We start from the raw sequence: 26,791 nt of genomic DNA, 5'->3' as shown, positions 1-26,791 counted from the left end.
AATCCAAGCTTCCTTTAGAAAATGAGCAATAATGCCTATACAAGAAAAACATTATTTGCAATGTTCCTGTTTCTTGTAGCAAAGGGAAATGAGAATCTCAATGACTTTGGGATACCCCATCACTTGAACGATGTCATACAATTTTATGAAGTGGAAAATAAAATGATCCAAGGGTCTTTCCATGTTTATATGCTGTATTCAGGATCTTAAGGAGTTTGATTACCTACTCTAAGATTCTTCTCTAATGATATCTATGTAATTAGCTGTAATAGCTTCTTCTAGTCTATGAAAAATATGGACTCAATCTTAAGCACTTAAAAGTGTATATTTCTTACTTCATTCAGCAAATATGAGTTATATTCCAGTCATGCATAGCCACTCTTATAGGAGTTGGGGGCAGAGTGGTGAATAATACAGACAGGAGTTAACTTTTTTTTTTTTTTTTTTGAGATGGAGTCTTGCTTTGTCGCCCAGGCTGGAGTGCAGTGGCATGATCTCGGCTCACTGCAACTTCCGCCTCCTGGGTTCAAGCGATTCTCCTGCCTCAGCCTCCTGAGTAGCTGGGACTACAGGTGTGTGCTACCACGCCTGGCTAATTTTTCTGTGTTTTTAGTAGAGACGGGATTTCACCATGTTGGCCAGGATGGTCTCGCTCTCCTGACCTCATGATCTGCCTGCCTCGGCCTCCCAAAGTGCCGGGATTACAGGCATGAGCCACTGTGCCTGGCCAGGAGTTAACTTTTCTAAATGCCTTTCTTATATAAGCAAGGAATAAGGATCCTGGGAATTGAGCCTGGGCTTATGTCCCCTGTTCAAAAATCAGCTAAAGTTGATTCATGATTGTCGGATTTAAGTCAGCATTCAAGGTCAAAGAGAGTGTTGGGACCACAGAAAACCTTGAAAGTGAAAGAGGAAAGAAAGATAATCTAAAAGCCTAGGTGGTAAGATATGCAAACAGGAGCGAGGAGACAAAATAATACTAATAGCTAATGATTACATCAAGCTGAGTAGGAACCTTGCATAGAGCTAACTTTAGTGTAGCAACTCATTCCAACCTCACAAGAGTGGTATAAGGGAGAAACTTTAATTATCTCCACTTTACAAATGAGAAAAGAGACACGGAAACTAAGTAAGGTACCCAAGATCATAGCTATCCGTCTGGCTCCATAGTTTGTGGTCTTAACCACATGATGCAACTAACAAAAGCAAAACGCAACAAACAGATTCATCTCCTGTTTCCTAGGCCTGGACTCTTTGGAATTTGGAGACGTTACCTAAGGCATTAAAAACATAAACCAGGTTTTGATGTATGGAACATTTGTGTCCACTTGGCTACAGAGGAAGTAAATCATTTTTTTTCTGGACAGACATTTGATTAATCTAGAAGCACTGGAGATTAACAAAAGCTGCATCCACATTAGACCTGTTCCAACAATTTGAGAATGCAAGTTTTCTTACAGTAGAGGCAAAATATCATATTTATCCTGATAAGCATGGAGTTGAAAAAAGAATAAATGACTATAGAATAAGTGAAAACATAAATGAATGAACTGTAAATTACTTTAGGGTTTAACTAATTTTTCTTTTTATAGCTTTTACATTATTAAGTAATTATTAATGTTCTTTACAGAAGAGTTACAAATTTTTCAATGATGCAGAAATAACTGTTTTATAATTCCTCAAACAATTCAGAATATCTTAGGATGCCTGTGGAGACATACCACATAGTATAATCATACAACGGTAATTCATTGAGAGGATTCATCAGCTCAATGCAATGTGTCTAATTGAAAACCTATTCCTGCACACCCTCAATTATTTTTGCAACTTTTGCCCTATTTCTAATGCTCAAGCTTTGGGATCAAAGCAAAACAACAACAAAATCCCACAGATATAAAGAGAAAATTTTAGGCTTTTGCCATAGTCAAGAGCATGTGTGTGATCAAATGCTAATGAAAAGTTAATGAAAAGCACAAGGTCCCACATTCTCAGGCTGTTTCTTCAGATAAAATACAGGATACCCAGCTAAATTTGCATTTTTGAAAAGCAGTGAATCCTTTTTTAGAATGAGTATGCCCAAGCATGACATGTGTTTTTATTTGCTATCTGGCCATGCTGCCACCAAGGCATAGGAACCAGGGGCTGCACTGGAAGAACACTGAGGTACCAAATGTGTCTGCCTGTAATTCTCCTAGTGCCTGTTATTCTGCGGCCCTGAATAAATGGCACTGCCCCCCTGAGCCTCGATTTCCTCATATGCAAAGTGAGAAGTGTTGGACAAGTTGAGTCCTGAGGATCTTTTCTTCTTAGATTCTGGTAGTCTGTAACAGTCTGGACTACATGGGAAGAAAACAGATATGATGTCATTGCTTTTAAAATGCCCTGTGAGGCAGAGAAATAAATTATGAATCATTCACTTACTATTCTCTCCAAGAAGAAGAGAAAAAGAACAACAAAAACAGCAAATGAGACAGAGGATGAGGGTAGCACACGGCTGTCTTCTGCAGAGTTTCAACCAGATAAGAGAGTGCGCCCTGGGGTGTGCTCATCTCAGAAAGTCTCCTGTTGGCAAAAAACTGTCATTCTCCTCGGAGGTTACCATTTGTTCCACCCACAGGGTTCCAAAATTAAGAACTGGCCTCTTTCGTGAGGGAAAATGATTTTAATGCATTTATAAGGAGTGCAAAAATGCAGAGATGTAAGAAAAATGCTTCTAAAGATATATTTGCATTTATTTAGTAGATGGAGGGCTGAATGTAACTTTTACCTCAAAATTTATGAGATTTTTTACATTTTTTTTTAATTTTATGGGGTAGTAGACAGTAGCAGGATTCAGCTTTGCCATTGCCATTTGTCTAACTTGGGAAGACTGATTCACACCCCTCATACTGCTTTCCCTATGAGTCCTGCATGAGGGATCACGCCATTGTCTTCATTACTTCATTCTTAATAACAGCCCAGCGTTTCTCCATTCTGACTGGAGGCAGACCAGAAATGCAATTAATTGCATGAAGTACATACATAAATAGAATACCAGCAATTCTTCCTTTTCTGGGCATTAAAAATAACATTCTCCAATTTCTATGTATGTCAGCACCATTTCTTCTCCACACTGTGGAAAGGAAATCTGGGGAAATCTTTTCATAAAAACACCATGAGCACAAAGATGCAGGGCTAATTTGGGAGACTCGCCATGTGGCATAGAAGAGACCCTGTGAATTTTTTTTTTTAATTGGGGAAGTACCTCACAACCAAACACGGATGTTTCCTGAGTTAAGTGGAGTTTTTCTCCAGAGACTACGTTGTTAGTGAAAACTGGCTCAGTTGAATCATGAATGAAAGTCTGTAACAAAAGACCCCACACCTGCCTGATCATAATGGAATACAAGTTAGACTCGGGAGACAGGCAGGGTCCACTTCTTTAGGCCACTGGGGACTGAAGAGTTAAACCACATACCCTATATTAAGTTTGTACTATTAAAGAATTACAGTTTCACATAATCTTATAAAATGCCCTGCATGTCTTCTGTAAGCCTTCACCCTTGTTCATATTTCCTGGGCCATATCCACAGGAAAGCTAACAGGATGGAATCAGAAGTTACAATTCTAAAGCAGAATTTCTCAATCTTGGCACTATTATCATTCTGAGTCAAATAATTCTCGGTTAAGGGCAACTGTCCTGTGCATTGTAAGATGTTAAGCAGCTTCCCTGGCCTTTACCCACTGGGTGACAGTACCACTCTTTTCCTCTACGTGTCCCCTGCACCACAGCATGACAACCAAAAATGTCTTTGCACTCTACTAAGTGTGTCCCCAGAAAAGTGAAGGTAAAATTAGCCCAAGTCAAGAACCACTGGACTAAAGTCATGCTCCTGTAGGATGAATTTAATCTGTGAAAGAGAGGACTAAAGACTCTCAGGAAGAAATTTAGACTCTGGTAAGAGAAGACCCACAAGTAAGTATATACAAGGTGTCCATATTTCTTTCCTCTGTGTTGGGCCATTGTCATAAAGACAACTTCATACAAAGTGTACAGTTTACTCAGGCACTATAAATATTTAAAGCAAAAATGTGTTAAGAGATTATAAGGATAATTTTTCTTTCTCCAGTCAGACACTTTATTTAAATATTGTCTTCCCGACTATTCACCCTCAATTTGATCCATAACTCTTAAAAACCCACTGTTTTCTACATACAATAATTGCTTTGATTGGCCTATCTATTCCTTCAAGATCTAGCCTCTGCCTGCTCTTTCAAGCCTCCTCTCCTATTTCCACCTCACATTCATTCTCCAAATGCATCCATCTTATCACTTTGTCAGTTTCTCAGCCTGGAACGCATGTCTTCCCATGAAACTGTGAGCTTGTTGAGAACAGATCTGATGCATTTCATCTTTTACTTTCAACACTTAGCATAGTCTCCAGCTTAGTAATATTCACTGTTTGCTGTAAGAATAAAATAAATGAATCCTAAGGTTCCCTGAAGGACTCTTAGATGGCATTGCTCATTTCTCCCAGAATGCAAGTCATCTCTGCTTCTTTCAATCATTTATTTCCTCTTTGTAGTCGAAGTTAGCTATTGAGTTGGTTTAAAAAGTAGGGTGTTCTCCATTTTCCCCTGAAAAATCTAGAACTCTACTTATTCTTCAGAAAATAAAAATAGGCTTCTTGTATATTTACTGTCCTGATTAATTTTAGATTTTCTATAAAGTGTCTGTTGTATAATGAGTCAGAGATTAAACAGTGAAAGGAGAAACTCTAAGAACTCAGGCGCACTAAAACTCTTCCAGAATTAGGTATTTTGCATATGGTGGTGGAGCAAAGAAACCAGAGTGATATGAAACCAAAATAATTAGATGTTTAACTTAAAGAGAGTGCATCAACCAAATAAAAATATAATTTGTTTGGAAATAAGACAAAAATCATTGTGAAAAACTAAATAAGCCACTTTACTAATTCATTAGGATAGAATTCTGTATTTTTCTTGCTGAAAGAGGACTCCCTCTCAGCCACGGTCCTCTTAATTTCAAAATTTGAGAACCATACAGTGACCTTAGGGGCCAGCTAGGTCAGTCCTCTCCTTTATCCAGAGAGGAGACTGGCTATACGAAGATTCTAGTTTTAAGAATAAATTAACATTTATTTTCCTCTTTTCACACCACATTAACAATATTTTGGTATAAGAGAGAACGGACGATGTAATCTTCCTATAAATTCCCTGTAGCTATTATGAGCCAAGAAAATTATCTAAATAAAGTCCAGTGGCAAAGAAAGCATGAATCGTGAAGCCTAGGAATGCCAAATGAAGCCATGTTTCATCAGTTCCCAAAATTAATCCTGAATTTCATCAACTCATGCAGGCTATGTCCAAAGAAATGTGCTAGGAGTCACAGTGACTAGAAGAAGGGACTGAAATAAAATGCCAAAGTTGTGTTTTATTTGCTAAACATGTGTACTTTGGATTGGGAGGCAATAAGAACACGAAGACCACCCTCTAGCTAAAACTAGGTTTGGCCTAAGAACCACCACAGAATATTATCGTGCAGTAGGTACCTTTTAATGTAGGGGCTAGCAAACATTTTCTGTGAAGGGCCAGATAATAAATAATTTAGGCTTTGCAGGTTTATGGTGTCTGTTGAAACTATTCAACTCTTCCCTTTTATAATAATAAGAGAGCAGCACAGATAACACTTTAACAAATGGGCGTGGCTATGTTCCAATAAAATTTTATTTATAAAAAACAAGCGGTGGGCCAGATTTTATGTAAGGACCATAGTTTGCTGCCCACTGTTTTAATGTATCAGGCAACCAAGAACTGAGAGCACTGTCATGAAATGAAATTTAGTTTCTTATTCTCTTTCTAATTTCTCAATAGATACATGTTTGCATTTAATACCTCACAGCCATTAATTTAAAATGGAATCTCCAGTGACTCTGAACTGGCAATTAGTTAAAACAAGGTAAACTTGCAAAGTGCCTGTCAGTTAGTTATCTGATCTGCATCAATCCACACACGTTAAGTCAGTGAGAGAGCAGGAATGTAATTTTCCAGAACACGTAACTCTATTGCTCTGCACGCTTCTAATGAGAAAAAGTTAATTATTTTATTATCTTAACATAAACCTTCCCAAATTAAATATTTCCAGGGTTATAAACTGTTTGCCTCCAAACTTCATTAAAAGCATAAAACCAGCCATTTCACTTTTGCAAACTACAGTCTTGGTTTTTTCGGTGTTCAAATAAAGCCTTCACATTTTTTAGAGCCTAATTTTTCTTAACATAAAAAATAAGCCCTACCGACGTTGTTCTCCTCGTTGATGGTCAATATCACTACTTTCTGTTGCTAGAGGGGTCCAGAAATTGGAAAAGAAGCTGGGATAGTCCTTACGTATTACACGTTTGCATGTTGCATATATATATATATACACACACACACACACACACACACATACACATACACACACATTAAATATTCCCCTTATAAATGGAGATTAATACTATTTTCATTATCAACTTTTTCGTAGTTCTTTCTTCTGAGCTAAAAAATCTAACACTTTTTTTCTTTGAAAATACTGTACTTTAGGATCTGCCAAAATTTGTTCTGACAGCACCATTTGTATAAGACTTTTCTCTAATGTTCTTAACCTCACGGGATTAAGTTTTAGGACACATAGAGAAATGAAGCAAATAATACTGTTATCCTATTCTTTTCTTTTTCTTCGGTTGTCAAGAAAAGCCACACTTATTTTAAACTAACAGGGACAACTAAGTCACAAGTTATTATTCCATGACCAGCAGACTTCATTCCTTTCCTTTCTACAGGGGGAGAGATCAAGCCAATTTTTTTTAACTCTGACTCCTTGTTTCTGATAATATGAAATCATATTCAAACGCTTTCATTTTACAAAACTTTAAAACACATCTCACTTGCTATTTGCTATTTCTTCATTCTCTCCCTTTTTTTTTTTTTTTTTTTTTTTGAGACGGAGTCTCGCTCTGTCGCCCAGGCTGGAGTGCGGTGGCGCGATCTCGGCTCACTGCAAGCTCCGCCCCCCGGGTTTACGCCATTCTCCTGCCTCAGCCTCCCGAGTAGCTGGGACTACAGGTGCCCGCCACCATGCCCGGCTAATTTTTTGTATTTTTAGTAGAGATGGGATTTCACCGTGTTAGCCAGGATGGTCTCGATCTCCTGACCTCGTGATCCGCCCACCCCGGCCTCCCTAAGTGCTGGGATTTATAGGCATGAGCCACCGCGCCCGGCCCATTCTCTCATTTTTTAAAATCCTCTATTCTTCACATTATTTGGTGTCAAGCCATGACCAAATCTACCCATGCTCCTCTTCTTGTTTGAAACTTTTAATTACTTAAAAAAAAAATAATAAGTAGTTTTGGAATATGAGTGGCAGAGGACAGAACAGTAATTGCTGCCTGCAACAGAGGCCCTATCATAGCAGCTGACTTCACATTCAAAGACAGGATGTCTTCTCACCTGCTTGATGACTCTCCTCAAGGAAGGAGTTGTGGGCCAGTAGAAATCCAGTTCTAATTCCTTTGCCTTAAAGAGAGGTTCACGGCAATGTCATAGGGCTCCACGGTTTCCCATATAAACTTATATTGAGGTTCTTCATGCCTTGTCCAAATCCTCAGGTTTATTATGTGTCCTTATACTAGGGCCTCAAGAATTGCTTGCAGAAGGAAGAAAGGTAAAAGAATGAACGCATTCTTTGATTCATAGGATTACAGTTCCCATGGTACAACTGACCGATTGTATGTTTAATCATGAGTTGCTTTAAAGTCTAAAATGCATAAGTTGCCATCTGGAATGGCTCTTAGATTAAATTGGACAGAAAAGACATGATCGTCCATCAGTCACCATAACCTGATGAATGAGAGTAGGAGATTTAAAAGAGGATACAAATGAATATCATTTTTCTTTTAAGACTTTCTCAATGTACTCCATTTTTATTTTCAAGTCTTTAAATGTTGAGACTCTTCTAAGCACCCAAATGCTGTATCTTACTTTTTGTTTGTTTTAATGTCAGAAAACTCTTCACACTCATGAAGGGGTGGCACTAGGAAATATTTGAGAACAGCTGCATTTTATTCACAGTTTAAGACAACTCAAGGTCAAGGGTGTACATCTTTTCTGAATGGGAGAAAACAGATCTCTGAAAAATCCAGCCTCAGTTTATCTCAAAACCTATCTACCATGGCCCTATCTAGGTGAGCTGGCTGCAGTGACAAACTATAGAAGTTTGTGAATTGTAGAGTGTCAAAAACTAAAAAATAACAAGTTTCTTTTAAGTTAAAAAAAAAAAAAAAAAAGAGAAACTTGGTTCCCAGGTTTTTCAAATGGAAAGGCCTTATCAGAATTCGTAAGACAATGTGAGTTCCTACTAGGCAAAGCTCATGTTCCTGAAGGCCCAGGGTGTCTCAGCTTTGGAAGCTGCTGCCTATTCCTCTTGACAAGCTCCGTCTTTACTTTCACAGAAGAAAGGAAAGCACAAAAGGAAGACAGAGGATTATTCTTTAAATGTTCAGAAAAGTGAAGAGACATTTGGTTTATCATTATGAATACGCCCACCAGCTGCAGGTAGTAAAATTTAACATTTGGCCATTTAACTCCCAAAAAAGATCCCCCAAGGGTCAGGAAGGCAAACCTGGAAAACATTGAGAGTTGGCAGGTCATGGAAATGACCCTCAAACCTTGGCTATGCTTCCTGGCTCAAGTATGAGAGAAATTTGGCCCCCACAGCAAAGAGAGAAGAACGTGAGGTAGCACTGCATTTCATGTGGGTGATGGGGGGGTGGTCAGAAAATCTAGGGATCAAAATAGATTTTTAGGAAGTGTCCTTAATGATGAAAATAATCAAGCCAGGGCAATTCTACATTTAAGGGCATAAGGCTAATCTTTGGGATTTTGAGAAAATAGACTATTTCCACCAAATCATATTAAATGAAAAATGTGGTCAAGTAGTATTTGGAATCACGGGGTGGGGGGAATCAACTTCTACAGATTAGCTCACCATCTAGAACAGGCAGAGGAGGAGGGGTGTGGGCATGATAAAGGAGGACAGAAGTGTCAGGATGATTTCAAATAATTGAAATGAATAAGACATGGTTCTTATTCATAAGGGGTGTGCACACAATATAGCAGAGGAAAACAATATGTCTATACTGAAAAATAATGGCCACCAGGAAGGGAGCTAACTTTAATTGACAACATGCCATGTGTTGGGCACTGCATTGAGCACTCAATGTACCTGACTACATTTGAATTATCCTATGGATGGATAAAATCTTCCATTTTACTGCTAAATAAAATGCCACTCAGAGTTGTTTAGCAAACAAATATACTTTGCAGGATGCACTAAATATTACACCAACAGGTTATTACAGAGCTTTTAAAGGAAAAAAAGAGTTTGATTCCTGGAGAGTCATTATATATACACACAAACACACACAAATATACATTCATCTATAATATGAATTATTTGAAACATGATTCTATGTGTCTACTTAGTCACAGATATTTGTTTGGGCTTTATAACAGTTCTTTTCTATTTTACAGCTCTGATGGAGGCTGTAGCGTGGTGTTTATCATGCAAGTCAGACTTGATGAGTTCAAATCCCACCTCCATCGCTCACTAGCTCTATGTCCCTGAACAAGTTATTTAACTTCCTTCAGTCTTGGTTTCCTCGAGCATAAATGAGTGTTAGTGGTATCTACCCCATAAGTTTGTGAAGATTAGTAACGTAAATATATTTAATCCTCGGCACAGTGACTAGCACATACAAAATCACTCAATAAAAGCTAGGTATTAATTTTGTCTATTTTCTTTTCTGCTCTGTCGCCAATATTTACAGCAGTATCCATCACAGAGAACACAATCAATAAATATTTGCTTATGAAAGTTATGAATTTATTACTCTCTCCTGCAATTTTTTTTTTCTGTAAAGATTTATCCACCCATTGTCCACTATGGCAGACATGTACAAAAGGCATGGAAGGGTTACCTGTTGTCTAAATTGACCTGCTTTATGTGAAGAGGTGCTAGGCATTTCTCTGGTGTGAAAAAATAAGAATCAAACAACACTTGAAGAAAGGTGGCAGGCCTCAGTGCTGAATACAGCCTGTACCAGCTTTGCGAGCAATATGTTCTCTTTCAGAGAACTCAGATTCCATTAACTCAAGGTCACCTTCTCCCATTGTGCCTCTTGGATGTCTTCCCTCCCCAGACACGGCAGGGATGACTGGAGCAAAAAAAAAGAGGAGAAACAGAGCTGTAACTGCACCCAATGAGTCAACAGGACCATGGTGTGAGCCTAGACACCTCAACATCATTATTTTACTCACTTACAGGACACCCAACATTATTATTTAACTCACAGGAAAGTGAAGAAGAACAGGAAAGGGAAAGGCCATGAGTGTATGAACATGAAGTATACCCAGGCCCAGAGTCCATAATTCTAATTGTTTATACAGAGATAATTAGCTGTCTTCATTTGTTCTATTTAAAGGATTACACGCCATTGCAAAGAATTCTATTAAAATGTCCAAACTCTTTTTAATGGAGACAAAGCTAACATTCATTAAGAAATATCCATGGGCCAGTGTTAGTTTTTCATTCACTGTCACATTTAATCCTCCCAAAATCCCTTGGAAGTGCTATCACTCGAGTTTACAAATGAGGAGACTCAGGTTTAGGTGCATGAAATAAGCAGCTGAATCACCCAACTAGCAAATAATGTTGCTGTTATACCAGGTCAGCCTGGCTCCAGAGTTCATATATCATAATCTTATAACATGTAAACATCCAGGAATTTTGTGTTACTAATTACAGTTTGAAATACGCAAACCTCCGAAGGATTTGGCTGTCTTTCTTGGTATATGGAATTTTTATTTATGTTGATCTTTGTGGAGAAGGGGTGTTGATCTATACTTAATCTCAATCAATCTACATTTTATGTATCAACGAATGCTTTCCTGAACGCCTTTTAGGTATCTGTCTAATCTAATTTGACTCATTAAAGAAATTTGTTATTAAATGGATAAACAAAAAACTTATTATAGATATTCCTTTCATTTAAAACAGCAGTTTGCTATTCACCAATCTGTTCTCCACCTATTAATTCATTCACCTTAAAACAAATCCCTAAGGAAAATTGGTTTTCTCCTGCCATTCTCTAGTTGAAAGCTTAGGGATACACATAATTTGTTAATATCACAGCCAGTACCCAAGTTCCTGTCCCCTTCTACCTCAAGCCCAGTTCTTTTTTCCCTGATCACAGCAACGTACTATGGATGACATTGCACTGGAAACCCATGCAGCACATACCATCTTCTCCATCAGATACTTCCTGTCAGCAAATGAGCATAAGAATAGCTACTGGATTGCCGGTTCAGCGTAACTAAATATTCATCATAAGTTTGCACATTAACAGCCATACACAATAATTAAACCCAAATTAATTTCCTCAGTTAATATATGCCACAGAATTAAGTTAAATCTCAACAGAAAACAGAGCAGACTGTAACTATTAATCCTCCCAATGAGCAACAATAATTATTTTTGCCAACAGTTATTTCATTTGCATATATAATGTTACAGCACACATTTTTACATACTAGTGATGATTCTCTCTGCTTTGCCAGATTGAGATTTTAGAAGTATGAATTCAGATACTCTGTCAGCAGAAATTTCCACAGACCTGGTTCAGGAACAGACTGTTAAAATTTGGAGCAGCCAGATTCATTAACATTGCTGCTGTAATTCACAATGGAACCCTGTAATTACAAACGTGCGTGTGGAATTAACAAATACACACACTACGAATAGTTAAAGACTAATTTCATGATATATGAAATGTGTCTACAAGTTGCATAAGAAATACTTCAAAAATTAATATGTCTATTATTCCATATAATTATTTTGGGGATCAATTATGGTTTTCTCTGACTGGAAAATTATGTTTATAAAAATTCATTGATTTGTTTTTAGCAAATTCTTATTGGGAATCTCTTCCGTGTCCAGAATTGTACCAAACCCTGGAAATACAACAATGCAAAAATAAACACAGCTTCTTTCCTCAAAGAGCTTGCTTTTAGTGGCGGACAGGGAGAGCTACAACTAGTAACTAACCAGTTAATTCCAAAAGTGTAACATGCCTATTCTAGGGAACAAAAAGAGAGTTTGGAAAACTCACATGAATCTGCCTCTCATTAGATTGTGAAAATTTAAACAAGTCATTCAGCCTCTCTAGACTTCAGTTTCATCATCTTAGAAACTGATGTGAGAGTCAGACGAAAGAATTATAACAATTATATTAGCTTTGCTCACTGTGTGCTCTCTATACGCCAAGAACTGTGCTGATATTTTGCACATATTTTCTCAGAAATAGAGGGAGAAGTAGCATACTTCTCCCTCTATGTAATCTGCAACCGGGGCATTTATTGAAAAATTGAAGAGTAACCAGTCTTTTTCATTCCCAATTACCAGCTGACTTTTTATGTTTTAACTGATAACTCAGCCATAACAACAACCAAAAAAGCATAATGAAACGTTTAATAACAAAAATATTGTCTCTAGTGAGTGCAGTTCTGCAGTTTTCACTGAAGCATATGTTATTTCTAGGAGAAACATATGTGAACTCCAGCACGGAACTGTTTATTGGCAACTGATTAATATTTCCTTGGCTGTGAGTTTAGAGGGGAGTTGAGAGTTCTTATAAATAGAAACTAAAGGATTATCAACCTCTTACTATTCAATTATTGATTTTTCTTACGGCAATAAAAAAAATCTGTGACTTTGGGCTAGGAATAATAGCTAAAGAGTAAATAAAAGAATTATCTATCTTATGGTGTCCTGCCAAATAATACGTTTCAAGAAATGATTACATACTGAATTGAACAGACAAAAAATGGATACAGAAAGAGAACACTATAAAAAATACCCTGGAGTTAATTGAGGATTTCCCTGGTTGTAGCATACTGCTATGATCTAGATCCTATAAAATGTTTACATCCAATGTTCCTATGAATCCTTACACACAAACAGAAATGCGGCTACCACATAGAGTTGCTCTATTTGCAAACACAATGGATTCCAGTTTTTATCTTATGAAATGGGAAGGAATTGACCTTCTGGTCTTATGCATCACTTCCGCCTCCTCCGCAGATCCTCTTTTTCCCTATTGTGTTTATTTGGCTGCCTTTCCATCATCCACGAACCAGTTCTCCTTCCAGGGTCTCCTGGGTTTTGTATGGGAATCAATGTGGCTTCAGGGAAGTATATTTTTTTTCTGGAGTCAGGTCTAACCTAGGCAAAATGTGCTTCTCACCCCACTGGACAGCTGTGAATATGTGATCTAAACTGTTTAAATCACTGATAATTATTTTCTTTTTTAACTCTATGTTTTGTTTGCTTCGTTTTGCTGGGAGTGCATGTACAGAGGCATTCTCTTTTTTCTGCTGTGTGTAAAGAGAACACATGGCCACAGGAGACGCAGACAACCATCTAGGGACCCAGGGAGAGCTAGCCTTAAAATGTAACCGAGATTAAGAAAGGCAGAGGAAAAACAAAAGAAAAAAATATAAACGAAAGAAAGAAATGACAACCTCATTGTAACGGTAAATCAAGTCAAAATGGAAGCCAGAGGCACCAGTGGGCTTTTAAAATTACGTAAGCTAATAATTTCCCTTTATTGTTAAGCCAGTTTGAGTTGGCTTTTCTGTTACATGCATTGTGAACATTCTTCTTATACAAAAGCATACTAGAAAGGCCCATGAATCCATAAATCCTTTTGTACATGTGATAATCTTCCTCTTCCATTTCTCAGACTCTTGGGACCCATTTGATTTTCCTCCTCCCATCCAGGGGTGAATTTAAGTATCTAAATCAGACAAGAACCTGTGTTCTAGCCTTGGATCATTGACAGCAATAATCAAGACCATCACTGGTTTTGAAGTCAGATATGTCTGATTTCCAATCTAGCCCTTTTCAGTTATTGGCGTGCATGACTTCCCTTGCCTCTGCCCCAATTCTTCTTAGTAGATATATTCGTATATTATGGTGGCCATAACAAAGTACCTGAAACTTAAACCACACAAACGGATTATGTTTCATTTCTGTTGGCCAGAAGCCTGATATGGGTCTCACTGCCCTAACATTGGCAGGGCTGCATTCCTTTCTGCAGGCCCTGAGTAGGATCCATTTCCTTTTCTAAAGGCCTCCCACATCCCATGGCTTTTGACCTCTTCTTCCATCTTCAAAAGCAGCAAGAGTAGGTTAAGTCCTCCCATCACCTCATTCTGACCTCATCTTTTGCCCCCCTCTTTTACTTTTAAGGACCCTTATGATTACATTAGGATAGACCAGATAATCCAGGAAAATCTCCCTACCATAAGATCAGCTGATTAGCAACCTTAGTCCCATATACAGCCTTGACTTCCCTTTGCCATGTCAGGTAACATAGTTACAAATTCAAAGGATTAGGATGTAGACATCTTTTGGGGCCATATTCTGTGTACCGCAGTAAAATGTACTTCCTTGCAGGCATGCTGTAAAGATTAAATGGTATAAAGCATGCAACGTGCTTTGTACACAGTAAGTGGGCAAAATTACAACTAATATTATTAAGCCATGCTGCATTCATGAGAGATGAAGGGAGAAGTGAGATCTAGTCAGTTATTTAATCTTCCTAATACAGCCTGTGGATCATGGTCCTAAGACCCAGTAAGAAGTGTGTAAAGAGTCAGCACAACTTCTTCATTCCCTGTGTTTCCACAACTTCATTCCCTGTGTTTCCACATCACCTTATCCCCAAGTGGTCACCATACTTGCCATTCTCTCTCTGTGTCTCTTCCCAGTGCCAGGATTTCTTGCTGCGGGTCTCACCTGGGTCTGTTCGAACTCTTGGCACACTGATTCCAGATCTTTCTTGGATCTTAACAAAGCAAACCTGAACTGATCTAATGCACTCTGATAAATTATGAAGCCAACTGGCTCAGGATGATGATAGCTAACACCCCTAGACATACAAATTATTACCTTTTAACAAAAACTCCAGGGCCCTAATCTTATTGTTCTTTAACTGAGCTATTTGAATTTCACCTCCACGACATTTGCCACAGCATTACTATCATACTTCTGTTATTACTAAAGATTTTTAAAATCGTCCCATTTCAAGGAACTTATTTAAAAAAAAAAAAAACACTTTGTATCACCACTTAAAACAAAAACAAATAAAAACTACTATAATTTTCCGTAAATAGAGAGCAATAAAGAAAGATAAGGAAATGAAGGCAATGCCAGATCCAGAAGACTATTGTTGCTTGCCAAGATTCTGAGCTGAGAGGGGTATTAGAGTGGTCAAGAAAACCCACGAACCCAGGTATCCCTCAACATGGAATTGATCATAAATTGTGGTATAGCCAGACAACAGAATATCAGATCAAACCCTACAAAGCAGAGAGAATGTATATACTACAACCATATGCTATCATGCGGATGAACCTCACAAACAGGTTGGCTTATAAAAGACAGACACAAAAGAAAATCGGTTCTATGACTTCACCGCACTTACATAAAGTTCAAACCCAGCGGAAACTAATCTTTGGTGGTAGAAGTCAGGTTCGAATTCATGTTAGAGGTGGTGATGACCAGGCAGGGACACAAAGGGGACTTCATCGAGTTGGCAAAGGTGTTTGTTTGTTTTGAGAGAGTCTCGCTCCGTCGCCCAGGCTGGAGTGCGGTGGCGCGATCTCGGCTCACTGCAGGCTCCGCCTCCCGGGTTCCCGCCATTCTCCTGCCTCATCCTCCCGAGTAGCTGGGACTACAGGCGCCCGCCACCACGCCCGGCTAATTTTTTTGTATTTTTAGTAGAGACGGGGTTTCACCGTGTTCGCCAGGATGGTCTCGATCTCCTGACCTCGTGGTCCGCCCGCCTCGGCCTCCCAAAGTGCTGGGATTAGGGGAGTGAGCCACCGCGCCCGGCCGGCAAGAGGCTATTTCTTAACCCAGCTCCCGATATGTGGACATGTTTATCTTATGATAATGCATCAAGCTGTACACTTAAGATCTGTGCACTTTAGTGTACGTATGTCAGATTTCAAAGAAATGTTTGCTTTCAAAACATCTCCACAAACACACTCTAGGAACAAACTGAGTTGTGCTCCCAGTGGGATCTAAAAGATTCATCCCCACAGTTTTAAAAACACGACTTTCAAGGAATAAGTTCTAGTGTTCCATCGTACGGTAGGATGACTACAGTTAACAATCGTTTATTGTGTATTTCAAGACAGCTAGAAAAGAAAATATGGAATGTTCCCAACACAGAGAAAGGATAAATGATTGAGGTGGCGGATTACCCCGATTACCCTGATTTGATCATTACACATTGTATGCAGGTATCAAAACAGCCCGTGTGTCCCAGAAATATGTACAATTATTATGCATCAATACAAAATGGAAAAAAATCTCCGAAAAAATAAAAATAACATAAAAATCATTCTCTCAAGTCAGATAAATGACGAGAAGAGTCTATACCACCGACCAAGGCATCTATCTCTGCCTACAACCGTTTCCCCTAAACTGAGCTAGTGAACCCTCCTCTATGTTTTCAGAGGACCACGGGGCTTACTAGGATCATAGCATCTGTCTCTGTATTTGGTATGATTATTTTCTACCCCCTTTCTCCAAACCAAGAGTCCCACGAGGTCAGGAACTAAGCCTTTAACTGTAGGGCGTTAGCCCCTAACAGGGTACTTGATATATAGGGGGTTGCTCTGTAAGGATCTGTGGAATGAACGAATAACGGTGTGATTCTGTTGCAAGACATAAACTGTGTAGAGTTGGCAGGAGAGAGAGAAAAAAGGTGTGTATCTCACTGAGGGGAACGATTGCACACAAACCCTGACACTGGCACATTTACAATTTTGAGGAGAAAGGAGGACTGGGATACTAATAATCAGCTAGGAACCCTTTGGAGGACAGATGCTATTACTTTGCCTTTAAGGAGGCTTGAGTGGAACTGTACAGGGCCTGGTACTTTTTACTATTTAAAGGACCCAAGGTAGTGCTAGAGCTGTAATGTCAGTAATGAAAGCAAATGTGTGAGCTGCTTGGACCTATTAAAGATAAGTCATTTCAGGTGCATTGAGAATAAGTGCACATGGAAACGTGGAACTATCTCTTTTTTTTAATCCTTGCTGGGGATGAGTCAGAGAAAGAAGGATGTCTGAATTCCTCAGATAAGGTTCCAAATGCCTTTCAGCTACCAGTTTGCAATATTTTGTACTACAGGAAAAATCAACACTTGGTGTGGATAAACATGCCAAATTTAGTCTGATCTGAATGCTACAAAAGCCCCCGTGTGCTTAGCCAGGTGCCTGATATCAAGTAGGCACTCAACAAATGAAAGACTCTGCTAGCTCCAACCCCTGTCTTCTTGTCATTAAGAAATAAAGAAGGAAAGAAAGTACAGAAGAAATGATGTACGTAAAGTACAGAAGAATGGATGGAGGAAGGGAGAGAAAGAGGGCAAAAGAAAAAATGGAAGCACAGTACATTTCAAGTTAGTGGATTCAAACAAAACACTTTGCAGGTTTTGCAAAAAGGCAAATAAGAAAAGAAATTAAACCAACAAAGTGAACTGTAAATGTGTTCCATAATAAGAGATGATGTTCTTAAATTAGAGCTAATGATACTAACACAGATTGAAGAGGAAAAGACAAATGATGATGACAATCACTTTATTGCCCTGTGCTATGCACATTTTTGCTCAAATGTTCAGATATCAGAAATGTTCTGAATACTGTGAATCAAAGAAGGGAGTAGACTGTGGAGAGATGCGCTAGACTGGAAAGCCATCACCAGTGGAGGGGGTTCCTTCAACACCCTATTCTTCAGATGTGGGAAAACATGAAATGAGAAACAAGGTTACTCATGCCATAAAACAAGTAAGAATGCCTCAGTGTTTATATTTCATCAGAGAGTTTTTATAAAACCTGTGGTCCAGCAAATCAGAGATAATATCATCTATATAGCTCACAATTCTACATGTTCTTGCTTATTTATTCATTGTGGACAACCTACTGATAACCTTTGAAAGGAGATTTCTTACTGTTGTCCATGATTTTACACTGCAGTTCAGTATGTAAGATAAATGCAACAGCCAAAGTGATTCAATAAATGTGCGGGATGATGTATGGTTACGTTCCAGTGGTAGGTTGTATTGCTACTCACCAAAAAATCCCTCTCTAGCTTGCTTCTCCCTGAGGGTGGATTACATACTCCTACTGTGCTGAACTCAAGATGTTTTATTTTGGATAATCAAAAGAAAGGAAAAGTGATAGATGCCTTTTCCAGGGAGAAACACTGATGCTGAGCTGTGGGTGCCATGTTTCTTTTCCCGCTGGCACAGCAATCACAATGTTCCCCACAGGAGCTGCTCCATCATCCTAGGTCCTAGAGTAGGATGTAGAGCAAAGCCCCAGCTGACCCACAAGGAACATGCAATGCCCGTTGTTTTCATCAGCTACCGAGATTGTTTGATATGGCAGAACGACTTAGCTTGCACCAAATGGTATCCAAACGAGGCAAACAAAAATCAGAACCAAATATATAAATGCATTCATTGGTCCAACAAATAGGTATTGAACACATTCTATGTTCTGTCTGTGTTTGTTTCTAGGAGTCAAACTATGGACAAGTTCGTTATCTTCTACAACTAGAGTTGTAGAAACTCACAAGTAAAGAATCAAAATGGATAGAAAAAATAAGAACTAGTGTTTGGTAGATCAGTGGAGTGGCTATAGTTTACAATAATCTTCTGTATATTTCAAAATAACTAAAGAGAATAACTGTTTCTAGCACAAAGAAAAAACAAATATCAAAAAGTGATGGATATCCTAATTACACCGATTTAATCTTTACAAATTACATGAACTTACTAAATTATCACACATATATCAAAAATATTTACATCTATTATGTACCAATGAAAAATTTTAAAGAAAAAATATTAGAAAGAACTCACATGGGCTCAAGAATTCCGGAGGAAGATCACATAGAGATTTGCATCATGAACAGGACCTTATTCGATAGGCATGTTTGGAGAGGGCATTCCTAATAGAATAGATAGAAGCACATAAGCAGGGGTGTAACTAAAGGAGAGAACCTGTGTAGGGAATTAGTGGGCAGGAAATTGAGAAACAATCAGGGTTGAGCCAGAGGAAGGAAAATCTTTATTATTAAACAAAACCTTCTGGAGGCAATGGGAAATGAAAAGGTTTCGAGCATGGTAAAAATCAGCATTTGTAGGTACTTTGAAAGAGGTCAGAGAGAGAAAATACCGGATTGGAGCAAAAATCATGGGGATGGAGCCAAGTCAACTTTTTTTGTCTTAATATGACTTAAGCAGAATTTTTGGTGTCATCAATTTAAAGTTATAATGCCATTCTGTTAAAATTATGTATCAAGGTCAAAATTTTCAATCTCACATTTCATAACCATTAACCATGTGTACCCTATGAGACGTATATCAGAGCACTCTGCCTACCATGAATACACAGTATATGTTCAGGGATAACAAAAACATGACCATATGGAAGCTTTAAAATATGCCAACTAATGTTTACAGAAGACCTACAAAACTACAGGAATTTTTAAAATTTAATCTTCTTAAAACGTAATGGCTTATTTGCTTCCTTGAGTAAAAAATGCCCTATCTTAAAAAATTTATTGGTTGCTTTGAATGTAAAGCAAATATCAGTTAAGATTGGGGTCAGAATGACAACTAAGACATGGCACACTTACTTATTGAAAACTATTACATTATTTTGTAAAGACAGGGTCTCACTATGTTGACCAGGCTGGTTTCAAACTCCCAGCCTCGTGTGATCCTGCCACCTTGGCCTCCCAAATTGCTGGTATTACAGGAGTGAGCCACTGTGCCCGGCCTGGCACACTTGCTTTTAAAATGATGGGTGGAGGAGACAATGCTAAATGTCCATTTCATTTTCCATTTTCTGGGAACAATGGAGTACTTCTCAGACTCCCTTGCAATTAGGCCAAAGTTGTGTGATTAAGGCAAGTGCATTGGGAGCAGCCGAGTGATTTACTTTTGTGTAATTCCAAACCCACAAAGGAATCTACTTTCCTACCTAGGAGTTCCTTATACCTACTCTTCAAAAGCATTAATTTACAAAAACTTTCAGAGAAAGACTAGATTAGCAAAGGATACAGGGGGGTCTGGAGCACTTAGCACTTCAAATGCAACCAGATAAAGAGAGGCATCCAAGGCAAAGCAAATAAAAGTATCTTTAGAGGAGCAATAATCATATACAAATCAAAATAGTTAGGTCATTTGAATTCTAAATGCATAACCATATGGACTGATTCAAAACATTTATAACTTTATGTTTATGTAATAAAACAGAAGCAGTTTAGTTTTAAATGAATGTTTCTCTAAATTATGGTGTAATCTGTTTATGAAAAAAATATGTTTGAGGATTTCTGAACCCCAGAATTATAAAAGGTACTGTGAATTTGCTATAATTTATTGAATTCCAAGTGCATTATATGGTCCACCTCTTGTCTTCAGAACAGCCCTAACTGATAGGCATATATTACTGGCATTCCCAATTTACCCAAAAGGAAATAGAATCTTAGAGAGATAAGGTAAATTATGAAGTTTCCTGCAACTGGGAAGACATAGTGAGGGGATCCTAGCCCGGGTCATCTGACTCTAGAGAATACACTCTACACCAAGCTTCCCCAACCCATGGCCCATGGGTCACATGTGGCGCAGGACGGCTTTGAATGAAGCCCAAAACAAATCTGTAAACTTCCGTAAAACATCATGAGATTTTTCTTTTTAGGAGCTTATCAGCTATCATTAGGGTTAGTGTATTTTATGTGTGGCCTAAGACAATTCTTTTTCTTCCAGTGTGGACCAGGGAAGCCAAAATATTAGATGCCCCGATCTACAGTCTATACAACCACCCCGTCTTTCAAGATCAGCTAATCTTGAAAAGCCATTTTATTTAAATAGATGAGCCATTAGCTCTCAAATTAGTTTCTTCAGCAGAAGCTAAATAAATGTCCAGAATATAATTTAGCCAGCCATTATGGTCTCTAACATCTCAAATGAAGTCCCTGAATATTTAAATGTTTCTAAACCACTACTTTGTTACAAAAGGTATACCATGGAGTCACTCAGAGGGACTGAAACATGTTCGCAAAGTGTTCTGATGGCCCAAAACCAGGTGAACATGTTGGCAAAGTATTCTGATGGCTCAAAACCAGGTGAACACCCAAGATAAAGCACCAAAGGCAGTTAATTTTAGATGGGTCTGAAACGGGGGTAGGGATGCACAACCAAAAAAAAGAAATTTGCAGAATCTTGAGGACCTACAATTCACAAGATCCCTATTTAGGACCAAGGAGGAAAACACAGGGACCAAAAATCAATTGCATATCAAGAAGCTTCAGGAAGTTGTAACCATGATTTAAACAAATCCTTGCAAATGCTAAGTGGTTCATGCAGTATTTCCCTGAGCTCATTTTCTCTTGCAAGGTTCAGAATGTTACTCTCAAATTCGTGGTAGCTCAGGTCCCAGTTCTTATTTCATGAACAGACAGGAAAAAGAGTGTGTTTGGGATTATCTGGACCTATCAAACTCTCATAGAAAACTCAGGCCCAGCCTGCTGATGATGAAGATGGGGCTGTTTAATACAGTGCTAAATCCAGTCCCCAAAGAGACAGGTTATTTGGAAGTGCTTCAACAACACTCCCACTAGAATGGCATGTACTGTGCCTTTTTTGCCCATTTGAGTATAAATTCTGTGATAAACTGTTTGTAAAATCTTTTTTAAAGAGTACAGTCAGTGACAACATCTTCATTAGAATTTTACCATGATGTGAAGCAGAGTGTGGAGCATAAATTATGGCTGGCTTTCCAGAAATACTTTCTGGTAACTTTTTTTCTCTGGATAAAAGGATGTAAATGCCCCAGAAATGCTTTTGATGAATCCCACAGGCTTTAATGAGTATTTATACTATAATAAACTTTCTTCTAATTTTAGTCACTCTCCAAGAAACAAAAAGTTTCCTTTAACAGATTCAGGCTTTATAAGAGCATTGGTATATGATCTCATCTCTTTATTAATATTCTGTTTTGAAATTGAAGATAAAGATAGTACTGGCACCATTGGCTATACCCACTCAGAAGCAGGCTACATTCTTTAAAAACTTGCAGTGGACAATCCATGAAGGAACATAGCAAATATTGAAAATGTGTATTTTTTCTTCAATTAATTGGAAAAAGTCGCCATAATCATTTTCAGATTTAAGAAGAATTAGTAGTCCGTGAAAAACTGGTATCTGTGACAAATGTGAAAACTTTGAGTGACATCTATAAGACCATGGGGTGGACAGAATCAATATGTGTCTATACCTGACACTGGACAAGGCTGTCCCAGTCTTCAGGTCATGATTCACAGTGTGTCCAAAAATCACAATTGGTTCAGAAACCTGCTCCAAGTATTTTTTAGATGAATAATTTCTGAAAGTCATGAATGCTTTAATATCATTTAGCAAATCAGAACAGATTAATTCTGTAGTAAAATTCCCTCATTAACTCATACTCAAATAAGTTGTTTTGAATGAAAGCTAAAAGGGTACATTGCAACCTTATATGTAGATGTCAAAAATTAAATGTATCACACTAGACAAAATGCTTAAGTTATCAGAGGGAGGAGCCAAGTGGTCAAAGATAAGACACACGGAGTTTGGAGTCTAAAGGATACAAGTCTTTGTCATTGCTGCCTCGAAGACCCTGGACAAGTCCATGCCCAGTCTTGGTCTTAGCAACATCCATAAAACTAGACATTTGAACTAGGGTTGACAAACAATGCCCATGGACCAAATCCAAACCACCACCTATTTTTGTAAATAAAGTTTTATTGAAAGGCAATCACGCACATTCATTTTCACATCACCTATGGTTGCTTTCCATCCATAATGGCAGAATTGAATAGTTGTCAGAGTGACTGAATTGGACTGCAAAGTCTAAAATATTTACTATACAGACCTTGAAAGAAAAGGATTGTGGGCTGGGCATGGGGGAGTCATGCCTATAATCCCGGTGTTTTGGGAGGCCAAGGTAGGAGGATCACTTGGGGCCAGGAGTTTGAGACCAATCTAGACAACAAAGTGACATCCCATCATCTCTACAGAATTTTTTTAAATTAAGTTTAATTAAAACAAGTTTTAATTAAAATAAAGAGAAGAAAGATTGTGAAACCCCTGAGTTAGACTATGAGATCTGCTAGATTTCATGCAGCTCTCAAATGCCTATGCACCTATTCTATGTCATGCCATTCAAAAGTTATTCCAAATGTCCCTCTTGCTTAAACTTGATATAGTTTAAAAAAAAAAAAAGCAATAGAACAGCAGGATTGTAATACTGGTTAACAGAATTACTTAAAGTCTATCAAACCTCCTTTCAAAGCTCAGTTCTGCCACTGGCCTTGACATCCCATTCCTCTCTTCTATAAAATGGGATAACAACTATATATTATGGATGTTGCAGAGCTTAAATGAAAAAAAAGTATGTAAAATATTAAACATACTGTATGACACAGAGTAAGTGTTAATTAAATAGTAGCTTCCATTAGTACTACTACTGAGATAGCCTTTGGTACTATAGCAAGAGAAACAGTGCAATGACTCACTCATTTATGCCTTCCTTTATATACTAGCTGTTTGGTGAGAAAACCGAAGGAAGACCCTTTTACAGAGAAAAGCATCAAGTCCATTGCCTGCGTCTGATCCACACAGCTCCTTTTCTTAGTCTGCTATGTAATCACAGCCAAGGAAATTTCTGGTCATCTTTAAAACTGAAACACTCTATGCATTTTTCTGCCACAGTGACACTTAGATTTGAGTAAAATGTTGGTGGATCTAGGCCAGGCGCGGTGGCTCACGCCTGTAATCCCAGCACTTTGGGAGGCCGAGGCGGGTGGCTCACGAGGTTAGGAGATGGAGACCATCCTGGCTAACACGGTGAAACCCCGTCTCTACCGAATATACAAAAAATTAGCTGGGAGTGGTGGCGGGCTCCTGTAGTCCCAGCTACTCGGGAGGTGGAGGCAGGAGAATGGCGTGAACCCGGGAGGCGGAGCTTGCCGCGAGCCGAGATGGAGCCACTGCACTCCGGCCTGGCAGACAGAGCCTGACTCCGTCTCAAAACAAAACAAAACAAAACAAAACAGTTGGTGGATCTAGAAACAGTCTAAGACTTCTTGAGGGTCCGGAGAAATGCTGCCAGGAAAAACCATGTGAGTGAAGATATTCACTGAAATCAATAATCCCTAGATCACACTAATCCAACCTTACAGGTAATAATGTAAAACCTGCTGGCTAAGGTGTTCCAAGTTATCATGCCCAGAGCAGTCATAATTTGGTTCCAAGCATCAGGCTTCTATTCTATTTTGTGGTGCTTTATACACCATCTACGAAAACTACTGCTGAGACTTCCAGGTCCCTGACTTCTGAATGTATAAATCATGTCAAACTATCATTTCTACCCCCATCCTAGTGAAAATGCAAATAAATAAATAAATAAATAAATAATAAATATCCGCTATGCATCGTTTTTGAGGTAGTGATTTTCGCTACAAATGACTTAAAGCAATGTTTTCCAAAGTAGCAAGGATGAAAGATGTTTGTTTCTTTTTTCTTTTCTAGTCCATTGTGCTCTGAGCCTTTAACAACATAAATTACTAGTGAAAAATGAAATGAAAAGGAAACGAGATACAAGATAAACCCAAGTCCAGATTTGTTATTTATTAAATTCAGGAGACACAAAATTGACTGTCAAATTGCTCTAAAATTTTCTGAGTTCTATATTTCTGTACTTACCTCTTTGCAAACCAGGGTAACACCAAAGGTTGTTGCCTTAGCCACGCCAAAGGGTTGGGGTGGCGGCAGCCCGCGGCAAGAGAGAGAGACGTGGACCCGACCGAGAGAAAAAAGGCTGTAGGCTTTACTGAGCAGAATGACAGTACAAAGCTTCCACAGCGTGGAAGGTGTCCCGAGCGGGTGGCCAGTGTTAGATTTTTTGATCACCTTTTAAACTCTTTAAGGCGGGAAATATGTGCAGCGGGAAGATGTTACCAGAGCGAGAAACAAAGACAATTAACATGTCTCAGATCTTGAGGAAAACCGGAATTGCAACTTAAGTTTTATCTACTTTATGACCTTGCAGCGGCATGGCAAAGGAGACAGGATCTCTCAGGATTGTACAAACTGTGTTTACAAGGAATTGGAATTGGGAGCATAGATAAGGTCTGCTGGTCACAGAAAAACAGGCTTTGAACATTCCTTTTAGTTTCAGGGGAGGGGGAAGGGAGAGAGGGAGAGAGGACACAGGGAAGCTTACAGCAAAATTTTCGCTGTTTATAGCTTTCTTGGGGAAGAAAACACATGCACAAATTCTGAGGTTAGGAATATTTTAAGCATATATCTTCAATATTATTCATCCAGGACCAAAATAAGTCCTGATGCAGGAAATGAGTGAGTTTCACAGCTTTCTGAGCCCCTACTCGACCCAGGAAGCCCAGCTGGCACCTCCTCTCACCAGTAACCAACAGTTGGTAGCCCTGTACTTGTTGGCATTCTGCCTTTTGAATAGAGGGTGGGCAGATCTGGAATTTGCTGGGCTGTGATGGTAACTTGGGATGTCCACAATAAGCCCAGGATGGAAGAATAGCCTCTGCCAACCTAGCCACAGAGGCCACGTGAAACAACATGTGGAATCAGGGAGCAGGGGCAGCCAAATCAAGGGAAAGGTGGTTGTTTCTGGTTTACACTATCCATTATATGGTCTAGATTTTGTGCAATGAGCATGTAATTACTTACCTGCATTAGAGTGTTAAACAAAATTTTGCAGAAGGCCTCTGACTTGGACTAGGCTCCTGCACTAAGCCTAATAGACCAAACCAATATGGCATTTACTACAGTAGCTGAGCTTTATTAATTGCAGGAGGCTCTGTAACCAATTTACCAATTAAGTGATAACCAATTAAGTCATCTCTACACTGCTCTTTGGTTTCCTATAAGTGAATGGAATTTTTTGCATTTTCACTAGGGATCACCTTATTGGTGGGATTTCTCTGAACCTTCTCATGTTCAGAGGTCTGTCTCATCCGTGAATCAGTTTCGCTTTGCTTTGTTTTATTTTTCTTTGCTCAGATTAAAGTTTAAACTTCCTAAGGGATTTCCCTTTAACAGAGTTTTCAAAAATGCAAATTAAAGACTGATTAAAGCACTTTAGCACTTTTTGTTTATCTTTAGAAGTGAAATGCAAAGAGTGAGGCCTTCAGAGCAAGCAATTCAAATGTTTCAGGTTCTCAAAAAGCATGTGTTCAATTACTGTTTTTTTTTTTGTTGTTGTTGTTTTTTTCATTTTTACTGAGCACACAGAAAGTAGTTTCAGTGCTAGGCAGTGAAGGTACAACAGTAAATGAGACACAGTTCCTGCTCTCATGGGACTTACAGTCTGGTTCAGAGAGAGACACCTAAAAATTCATTAAATTCTTACAAAATCTATGCTAGAAATTTCTTCAGTGTAAAGTGATAGCAAAGAGGACAGGGTGTTTAATTCTCCCAGAGGGAAAACAGTTTGTCCCCTTTCCCAAAATGTGACTCCTTTCTTAAGGGTGTTGAGAAATGACAAGAGGTAGAAAGCTCAGCCATGTCATCTGGCACTAATTTTCACAAGTTTG

General features: G+C 38.6%; 1 long non-coding RNA gene across 2 annotated transcripts in view; it reads right to left on the bottom strand.

Moving 5' to 3' along the window:
* LOC105376942 (uncharacterized) overlaps positions 1–25,419 on the bottom strand; it is a 150,192-nt gene extending 124,773 nt beyond the window's left edge. For both annotated transcript variants that reach the window (XR_940578.3, XR_940579.2), the window contains exons 1-2: positions 24,927–25,419; positions 19,038–19,126 (exon numbers count right to left, since the gene is read on the bottom strand). This is a non-coding gene — a long non-coding RNA (uncharacterized LOC105376942). The remainder of the gene's footprint in view (positions 1–19,037; positions 19,127–24,926) is intronic.
* Positions 25,420–26,791: the final 1,372 nt, after the last annotated feature.

This window comes from Homo sapiens, chromosome 3, assembly GCF_000001405.40.
Source record: "Homo sapiens chromosome 3, GRCh38.p14 Primary Assembly".
Lineage (NCBI taxonomy): Eukaryota > Metazoa > Chordata > Mammalia > Primates > Hominidae > Homo > Homo sapiens.
Note: the sequence above shows the minus strand (reverse complement) of the source record. Positions and strands in the feature narration are given on the sequence as shown.